The sequence below is a fragment of the Homo sapiens genome, chromosome 6 (genome assembly GCF_000001405.40).
Source record: "Homo sapiens chromosome 6, GRCh38.p14 Primary Assembly".
Lineage (NCBI taxonomy): Eukaryota > Metazoa > Chordata > Mammalia > Primates > Hominidae > Homo > Homo sapiens.
In genome coordinates, this window is record NC_000006.12 from 170,052,541 (window position 1) to 170,063,000 (window position 10,460).

The 10,460-nt window shown below is 53.5% G+C and overlaps 1 annotated feature.

Moving 5' to 3' along the window:
- Window positions 618-1,118: an enhancer, noted in NCBI's record as "H3K4me1 hESC enhancer chr6:170368382-170368882 (GRCh37/hg19 assembly coordinates)". NCBI's record gives its function as "activates a minimal SCP1, AML or CMV promoter by ChIP-STARR-seq in naive H9 embryonic stem cells {active_cell/tissue: H9 hESC(naive)}" and the evidence as "EXISTENCE:reporter gene assay evidence [ECO:0000049][PMID:30033119]".

Consider the following 10,460-nt stretch of genomic DNA (forward strand, 5'->3'; position numbering starts at 1 on the left):
CTGTCTATCTCCCTCCCACCCTCTCTCCCTCCCTCTCTCCCTCCATCTCTCTCTCTGTCTCCCTCCCTCTCTCCCTCCCACCCTCCCTCCCTCTCTCCCTCCCTCTCTCCCTCCCTCTCCCTCCCTCTCTCCCTCCCTCTCCCTCCCTATCTCCCTCCATCTCTCCTTCCCTCTCCCTCCCTCTCTCCCTCCCTCCCTCTCCCTCTCTCCCTCCCTCTCTCCCTCCCTCTCTCCCTCCCCCTCCCCCCTCCGCCTCCCCCTCTCCCTCCCCCTCCCTCCCCCTCCCCCTCCCTCCCCCTCCCTCTCTCTCCCTCCCCCTCTCCCTCCCTCTCTCCCTCCCCCTCCCCCTCCCTCTGTCCCTCCCCTCCCCCTCCCCCCTCTATCCCTCCCTTTCTCCCTCCCTCTCTCCATCTCTCCCTGTCCTGGCTCTTCATGGTGCTCCCAAAGAGTCACTGTGGCTTCTCCCAGACTTCAGTGTCTTAGAGAAGAGCTAGTTTATGTGGAAATCCTGTTCCCTGGATGTTAGATTAGTCGGTTAATTCGTGAAATCATCACCTCCACATACCCACTCTGGTGTCCTCTCCACCGCCCTCAGCAGGCCTCTATTGGTGCCTAAGCTTTTAGTAAAAACCGTTTATCGTGACTTAATGGGCACGTCCCAGACAGCGACCCCGGGCTGTGTGTTGATGGCGTTCACAGTGTCCTGTGGGAAACATAAAAAGTACAGTGTCCTGGAGACCGTGGGGCACTCTCACAGACAGAACATTGTTCATTCTCCCCACATCTTCATAAAATGAGAAAGATCAGGCACGTGATGGCCCCAAGAACTGCCATTCACCCCTTCCTTACATAGCGCCAGCATTGGGACAGGTGTCCAAGGACCCCCAACAGTGGGGCCGGCTGCCTGTGGGTGTGTCACAGGAGAGGTCCCACGTCGTCAGCCCAGGTACAGGTCTTCCCACCCCACCAAGCACAAACTGTATCAGGAAAGGGGGACAGACCCAGCTGCATTTGCAAGCGCTGGTGTCCACACGGGAACGTGGCGGAACGTGGCAGGCCTGGCTTCGGGATGCAGGCAGACGCAGGTGGCATTCAGCAAAGCCCAAGGGCGGCACCATGCAGGCATGGATACAAAGAGGGCTCCAGCTGGGGCAGAGGCCGGGCAGCCAGGGAAGCCCCGTGGGGAGTGCCAGGGCAGCAGGAGGAGTCCCCACAGCTCCAGCCAGGCAGAGAGGGGAGATGATCTCACTGCGGCCGTGGCTGTGCTGCTCCCAGCTCCTCTGCTCCTCTGCTCCTCAGCCCCAAGTGGCAGCCCCTTCGTTCTCCCCATGTGCAGCAGGAAGGGAAGAGAGACACGAGAGCCGTAGCCTTCCGGGCACATGGGAAAGAATTCTCCACATTATTGTAATTTTTGAACAAAAGTAACCAGTGAGAGGGATGGAAGTTGTGGCATTGCCTAGTCCCATTCACTCAGTGCACACTTTACAACGGGAACCATCGAGTTTCAAAATATTAATGAAAAGGACAGTTCTTGCTTTTTTCATATTTCAACTAAGATGATGATAATAGTTATAATGATAATGGTGAAAGATAAAAATAAAATAAAAAATAAATACATAAAAATAAATAATAAAAATAAAATAAATAAAAATAAAAATAAAAATAAACATGTGCCCAGGACCCCAGGGGTGAGTTGGCACAGAATGAATTGAGGTTCCCTCTGACCTCGGTCCGGCTGAGGGTCCCGGATGCAGAGGGTGGGTGCCTGCCCAGTGCGGAGCCGGCTCCCGCATATTCCAAACCATCCTTTGCAGGCTGCGGACAACCAAGCCAGGTTTTCTCTCTTCCCATTTCAATTTCTAAAGCTCTGTCCAGAAGGACAGGAACAACTTTCAGCTCCAGGAACGCGGTAGGGGCCAGAGGCGGCATCTTGGAGGGGTGGTTTCAGGAGGGGGCGGCAGAAGAACCCAAGTCTGCGAGGGTAGGTTTGTTTGCTTGCGAGCAAAGCACTTCCCGTCCATCCTCATGTGCCTGAGAGGTGCCTTGGGTGTGGCCTCCTCTCCAGCCCTCACGCATGGATGAGTCTGCCCCGTGGAGCACAGCACCCTGAGAATGCCATCTCCTCTCCCAGAACTTACACACCAGTGCAGGTCTGCCAAGAGCAGAGCATAAACAAAGAGACAGATATGCCTGTGAATGTTTCAGAACCAAAGAAAGGAAGAACACATCCCAAAATGCAGTAAGTGCCAACCACCGTCCACAAACAGGAGAAGAGACACTGACCACCACACACCAGGCAACCACCGTCCCACAAACAGGAAAAGAGACACTGACCACCATGCACCAGCCAAACACTGTCCACAAACAGGAAAAGAGACACTGGCCACCACACACCAGCCAACCACCATCCACAAACAGGAAAAGAGACACTGACCACCACGTGCCAGGCAACCACCATCCCACAAATAGGAAAAGAGACACTGACCACCACGTGCCAGGCAACCACCATCCCACAAACAGGAAAAGAGACACTGACCACCACGTGCCACGCAACCACCATCCCACAAACAGGAAAAGAGACACTGACCACCACGCGCCAGGCAACCACCGTCCACAAACAGGAGAAGAGACACTGACCACCACGCGCCAGGCAACCACCATCCCACAAACAGGAAAAGAGACACTGACCACCATGCACCAGCCAACCACTGTCCACAAACAGGAAAAGAGACACTGGCCACCACGCGCCAGGCAACCACCATCCACAAACAGAAGACACACTGACCACCACGCGCCAGGCAACCACCGTCCACAAACAGGAAAAGAGACACTGACCACCACGCGCCAGCCAACCACCGTCCACAAACAGGAGAAGAGACACTGACCACCACGCGCCAGGCAACCACCGTCCACAAACAGGAAAAGAGACAATGACCACCATGCACCAGGCAACCACCGTCCACAAACAGGAAAAGAGACACTGACCACCATGCACCAGCCAACCACCGTCCACAAACAGGAGAAGAGACACTGACCACCACGCGCCAGGCAACCACCGTCCCACCAACAGGAAAAGAGACACTGGCCACCACGCACCAGGCAACCACCGTCCACAAACAGGAAAAGAGACACTGACCACCATGCACCAGCCAACCACCGTCCACAAACAGGAGAAGAGACACTGACCACCACGCGCCAGGCAACCACCGTCCCACCAACAGGAAAAGATACACTGGCCACCACGCACCAGGCAACCACCGTCCACAAACAGGAAAAGAGACACTGACCACCATGCACCAGCCAACCACCGTCCACAAACAGGAGAAGAGACACTGACCACCACGCGCCAGGCAACCACCGTCCCACCAACAGGAAAAGAGACACTGGCCACCATGCACCAGGCAACGGAGGCGGGTGTCGCTGGCTTCAGGACGCTCCCTGAGATGCTCTTTGGCAGCCGGTGCAAGCGCCTAACAGTATATGCCCCAGGCTATTATTAAAACGCGTTTTCCCTCCCTGGGCTGAGGCAGCAGCCTGGTGCTGCCAGAAGAACACAAAAATGTTCAGGGTACGAAGGGCTTCACTACAGATAATCCTTAAAGTGGATTATTTCATTCACAGAATCAAAAGTGCAGAGCATTCAGGACCAAAACCTTGTCCTAACAGCAGCAAGAGCAGCCTCGATTTGCGTTTATGCACACACTCCGATGTCTGACACCACGTGTGACTGTCACAAAAACCGTGGGAGGAGCTTAAACATGAGGGAACCCTCCCACTGCTGCTTTCCAGAAGGGCAAGTGAGGCTCAGAGTCCTGCGGTTTACTCACCCCACAGAGCCAGGCAGTGGGGAGAGCAGGTTGTGCAGGGGTGAGGCTGGGATTGTCCGTCCGACGCCCGGTGACGGCCCCGCAGAGCCAGGCAGCAGTGTGGGTAGAGGTTTGGAGTTAGGTGTGGTCAGATGTGGAGGGTGGGGCTCAGGAAGGCAGCCTCACCCCATCATCAGCATGGCCTTAGGATAGGACATTGCCTTTCCCTGTCCAGTGAGAGAAAGTCAGCAGGCTGACAAAGCAGCCGTCCCAGGGCCCTGAGCCGCCCCGGGTCTCCCCCTCATCTCTTTCTGTCCTCAGAAACCCAGGCTCTGTTGGTGTAGGGGGGTTGCTAGCTCTGAAGGAGATCTCCTGGCCCCTAAACTGATGTTTTATTAACCAGGTTGATGACTGTGTGGAACTTTATCATAAGGAAAGATTTTACCGCTTTCCTCACTACTTATTATTCTTTTTCTTAAGAGGCAGGAAGGGGCCTTGTAACCAGAATGGGATTTGCAAATCCACCCTGCGTGAAGGGCCATCTTTCCCCCACACCTACAGTCCTGCCCCCAAGAGCCAAACTGTCTTGAAGCCAAATGGCAGCTCACCCAGCATGTGTGAGGCGCTTTTCACTTATTCCTCACGAAAACGGCCTGAACACCACATGGAGAATCTCATCTTATCTGCAGACATCACTGTTGGCGCATTTTTGGTGGGGAAGAACCAACATTGGCACACATCAGCCAAACATCCAACGTCCACTCAAACCAGTACTTCTGTACACCCTCTACTGTGGCCCACGTGGAACCCTGTACAGCCCATGGCCAGCCTGCCCTTGGGAACACGTGGCACATACCCAAAGCCTGTGGCCAACCCTGAGGGTCCCCACTGCCGTCTGGGAGGAGCCATCTCCATAGAACTCCTGGCCCTGCAGGCTTCTCTGTTTGGTCCCGGTCTCGGTCCAGGCAGGGAGACGCACCTCCCAGTAGCCCCTGTGAAACCGCACTGCGAGGGCAGTGCCAGGAGGGCTGGTCCAGGTGCCGTGGATTTTCCCCTAAACTCTTTTTGATCTTCCAGTTACAGTTTAAAACAGCTAAAATGTTAACAAAACAAGCAAGCAGTGGAAGTGAGTTCAGTTCAGTCGTGAGGGAGGAAAGCCTGTCCCCTGGTTACAGCACTTGTTCGGTGGCCTCGAAGGCAGGCCTGTGGGCCTGGCTCAGATTCCGAGGAACCTGCAGCTGCAGGCAGCCCGGAGGCCACCCTGCCCTCCCCCTCCCCCTTTCCCTTCCCCCTCCCCTCCCCATTCCCTCTCCCTCCCCCTCCCCCTTTCCCTTCCCCCTCCCCTCCTCATTCCTCTCCCTCCCCCTCCCCTTTCCCTTCCCCCCTTCTCCTCTCCCCTCTTCTTCCTCCCTCCCCTCCCCCCTTTCCCCCTCCCCCACTCCCACTCCCAGAGGCAGAGCTTCAGGGCCTCCAGGGTCCCTCCCCGACCACGTCCTCATCTGATTCCAAACTGGAAATTCTCATAATCAATTTCATCCGAATACCAAATGAGTAACAAATGCCTCCCTTTCCCACATCCTGGCTCTTGCCTCCAAGCTGAGCTCCACGTGGAGGAACCCAGGACATCCACCCACTCACCCTCAGCAGCCTCTCCAGGCCCTGTGGCCGCCACAGCTCAGACCCCAACAGACGGATGCCAGCCGCATCTCGGGCGCCACAGTCCCTCCTGGGACGGCTCCAGTGACACACCTGGATCTTCTCTCCAAGGACTCACCTCTCCAGGTCCTCATCCCAGGCCGCCCCGCCCCCAGCCCTGTCTCACACCGTTCCTCCTCGGGCACAAGCCCGCGCCAGCTCTCATTTCACCTCCGCTGTCCCCTTCCCTGCTGGTGCCTGCGACTATCTAAACTCCTTCCGGAGAGGAGCAGCTCAGTGTTCAAACCACCGACAACAGAAATTGGTGGGAGGGTTGTGTTTGCCCCACAAGTGAAAGGGCGCACGCAGCCTCAGGGGTGGGTTGAACAGAGCCGCACCTGTGATTAACCCGGAGCCCAGGAGTATCCCGGTTCCCTGCTTCAAGGCCTGTCTACTGGGGCTTCCTTCTGCCCCAAACCCTGAAGGGGCGTGGAGAGGCCTCTTGCCTTTGTGCTTACGCGCCACACGGTCTCCATCTGCACAAATTTCCGTGTGCAGTAGACAGTTATTCCCCAGTCCTTTGACGGAGGTGTCCCCTGGAATGCCTACCCTCGTGCAGCTGGCGTGCCTGGGGCCCAGGAGCCAGCACACAGCCACGCCTAGGTCAGAGGTTCTCACTGAGACTGCAGGGACGCTGCACGCAGGAGGCCGGGCTTGCCTGAGGGACTGCACTTTGCAGAGGGCGCGCCAGGAGCCGTTGTCCGGGCCTGGGACTCCCTCCATACAGGCCTTCATCTCGTGGTCTGAGGTCTGCCTTCTGCAGGCCGTTCTGGGGCAGGGAGACTGAATGCAGAGCGAAGTGCATCCCCAGGCCCTTCTCAGGTGACTGCTCACAGCCACTCTCCTTCCAGAACGAGGTTTCTACGGCACAAAAGAGATTTTGCAGATTTTTTGCTTCACCTTCATCCTAACTTTGCATGGAGGTAGAAGTCGGCCCGTGCCACTGTCTGTCTCTCTCTTGCCTCATCGCCTGTCCTCGCAGCCCAGTCCTTGGGGCCGGTCTCCATAGGCCCCAATGCCCAGGACAGCCCGTCTGCAGTGCCTCATGCTCCTGAGCCATCCTCTGAGCTCAGAATCTCCCCAGCAGGTTCCACCAGGGTGTGAACAGTCCCTGCTCCGTCCGGTGTGTGTCGCTGGAAGGCAGTGGGCTTCTGTAAGAGAAGACCAGGTACAATCCCTCAGGAGGATGCCTGGACATATCCAACACACATGTTCCCTTCAACTCAGCAATTCTTACAAAGTCTTCAACAGCCGTGGGGAGCGCTGGGTGATGCGGGCACGGCCACAGCCGTGGGGGGCGCTGGGTGATGCGGGCACAGCTCATGTAATTGAGCTTCACTTTATGGCACTTTCCAGATACTGCGTTTTTCAAGATGGAAGGTTGGGCGACCCTGCAGCCGGCAGATCTGCTGTTGATGTTTTTCCAATAGGGCGTGCTCACTTCGTGTCTCTGTGTCATATTTTAGTAATCCCTGCAATATTTGAATTTTTTTCATTATGATAATAGTTGATGGTGATTTGTGAGCCATGATCTTCCGTGTTTCTATTGCACCTGTTTGGGGCACCACAAACCACATCCATGTAAGATGGTGGACTTAGTCTATAAACATTGTGTGTGATCTGACTGCTCCGTGGACTGGCCACGTCCCCGTCTCTCCTCCTCTAGTTGGGCCTCCCTGTTCCCCGAGCTGTGATTATATTGAAATTGGGCCAGTGAATACACCTATAATGGCCTGTATGTCAAGTGAAAGCAAGAGTCACATCTCTCACTTTAAATCAAAAGCAAGACATGATCAAACCTGGTGAGGAAAGTGTGTTGAGAGCAGAGACGGAACAAAGGCTGGGCCTCTTGCACCAAGCAGCCCAGTTACGGATACAAAGAGAAGTTCTTGAAGAAAATTAAAAGTGCTATTCCAGTGAACGCATGAATGATAAGAATGTGAAACAACCTTACTGCAGAATGTTTTAAGGTCTGGAGAGATGATCAAACCAGCCACAACATTCCCTTAGGCCAAAGCCTAACCCAGAACGAAGCCCCAACTCTCTCCAATACTATGAGGGCTGAAAAGTTTGAAGTCAGCAGAGGCTGGTTCATAAGGTTTAAGGAATGAAGCTGTCCCCATCACATAAAAATGCAAGGTGCAGCAGCAGGTGCTCACGGAGAAGCTGCAGCAGGTTCTCTAGGAGATCCGGCAAAGATCACTGATGAAGGTGGCTACACTAAACAGCAGATCTTCACTGTAGACAAAACAGCTTCTACTGGAAGAAGAGCCTGGTTTGGAAGTTTCAAAGGACAAGCTGACTCTCTTATTAGGGGCTAATGCAGCTGGTGACTTTAAGTTGAGGCCAACGCCCATTTTCCATTCTGAAAATCCTAGGGCCCCTAAGAATGACGCTAAATCTACTCTGCCTGCGCCCAATACATGGAACAACGAAGCCGGAATGACAGCGTATCTGTTTACAGCCTGATTTCCTGAACATTTAAGGTCACTATTGAGAGCTACTGCTCAGAAAAAAAAAAACATCTTTTTAAAATACTGGTGTACTCACTGATTATGTACCTGTCATCCGAGGCCTCTGATGCGGATGTACAAGATTAATGTGTTTTCACACCTGCTAGCACAACATCCATTCTGCAGCCCATGAATCAAGGAGTCGTCTCAACTTTCCAATCTCAGTATTGAAGAAAAGCATCTCATACGGCCGTAGCTTCCGTAGATAGTGATTCCTCTGATGATCTTGGCAAAGTGAATTGAAAACCTTCTGGAAAAGATTCACCATTCTAGATGCCATTAAGAATGTTCGTGATTCTTGGGAGGAGGGTGACACATCAACATGAATAGGAGTTTGGAAGAGGTTGATTCCAACCCTCGTGGATGACTTTGAGAGGTTCTAGACTTCAGTGCTAGAAGTTACTGCAGGTGTAGTGGAAATAGCAGGTGAACTAGAATTAGAAGTGAACCTGAAGATGTGGCTGAATAGCTGCAATTTCTTGATAAGACCTGAACGGATGAGGAGTTGGTTTTTGTGGATGAGCAAAGAAAGTGGTTTCTTGAGATAGAATTGACTCCTGGTGAAGAGGTTGTGAAGATTGCTGAACTGACCACAAAGGATTTATAATATTCTATAAACTTAGTCGATAAAGCAGCAGCAGGGTTTGAGAGGATGGACTCCAGTTGTCCAAGAAGTTCTAGAGTGGGTAAAATGCTGTCAAACAGCATCATGTTTTACGGAGAAAACTTCAGTGAAAGAAAGAGTCGATCAGTGCAGCAAACGTTATTGTTGCCGTAAGACACCACCACAGCCACCCCCACCTTCAGCAGCCCCCACCTGATCAGTCAGCAGCTGTCAACATCAAGGTGAGGCCCTCCACCAGCAAAAAGACTACGACTCCCCGAAGGCTCTGATGATCATTAGCGTTTTGTTTTTTGCTTTTTGTTTTTGTTGTTGATGTTGTTGTTGTTGTTTTAGCAATAAGGTATTTTTTAAATTAAGGTAACGACTTTGTTTTTAAAGAAATAATGCTATTGCACACTTAGGCTGAAATAGTGTAAACTTAACTTTCATATACACCAGGAAAACAAAAAATTCCTATGACTTGCTTTATTGCAATATTCGCTTTATTGGGGTAGTCTGGAACCAAACCCACAGTGTCTCCAAGGCCGGCCTGTACATGAACAAGGATGTTCACTGACGCCTCTTTGGTGGTGCCAAAAAGCTGGAAATAACCTTAGGGGCTGGGAAATAAGTTCCAGCACATCCACGAAATGGTTAAGCAGTGAGAAAAGAAGAGACAAATCTTCTGTGCTGATACAGAAAAATGCCGGAACATATCGTTATACACACATGTAAATTCCTTTAAAAACCCGAGACGCACCACAGCACATACAGGAAACAGCATTCCTAAAATAGCTGCCCAGGAACATTCTGGGATGATGGGAACCTGACTGTTCATTGCAGTCAAGCCCGAGAGGACCATCGTCTGGGAGCTCTTACTTCGCATGTTAAGACTTTTTGAATTACTTTTATCATGACAATTTATTTACTTGTGTAGTATCAAAACCAAGTATAAATTGTTCAAAAATAAAATAACACACCTCTTTAGATTGCTGTTGGACTAAACGGCCTCCCCTAGGACTTTCAGCCCTCAAGGCTCTGGTGGCCCGACTTCGGCAAGGGGCTTCCCAGTGGCCCTGAGCGGGAACCCTCTGCAGCCCAGACAGGGTACAGGCCCCATTCCAGCCATCCTCCTCCCACAGGACACCCTGAAAACCTGCCCGAGCCCCACTGGTGGCTGTGCTGCTCCTCACCCCCCCTCTGCTGGAGCCATAGGAGCCTCCTCAGGAGCCCTTTCTCCATTTACTGCACCTCCTCTCCTGCCAAAGAGGCCCTGGAGTGCAGGTGAGGGCATCTTGCCAGCCCCAAAGGTGGCCTCATGCCCTTCCATCCACTGGCAGTCCCCTCCACAGTCCCCGGGAGCCTCACAGAGCCCTTGTGCTTTGATGCTGACTCAGTTCAGTCTCAACCAAGGGATCGTCCATCTGCCCACCACAGAGCCAGCCAGCCTGGAGGGATCTGCGCAGATCCCGGGGTCTGTGAGGCGATGGGCAACGCCCTGTGCCCACGTGTGGCTGCTCTCCCAGGGGTGCACCTTCCTCTGGCCCCACACACCCCTCCCTGTGCACATCAGCCACACTGCTTTCTGAGTTCCATTTCCTCTGTTCTGAGCTGCAGTTGCTAATGCCCTCACTCTGTCCCACAGGGAAGGGCCGGCGTGAGGGAGGGCCAAAGCCCATTCCTCAGGAGAGCCCGTCACCAGCCTGGCCTGCAGCGGCTTCCCTCCCAGCTCCCAGCTCCGGCCTCTGATGTGCCCGGCACGGACTAAGCGTGTCACTGTCGCCCCGACTGCCACAGCAACCGCACCACTTACCGAGGAGCCACGCTCACACTCCCCCAGCC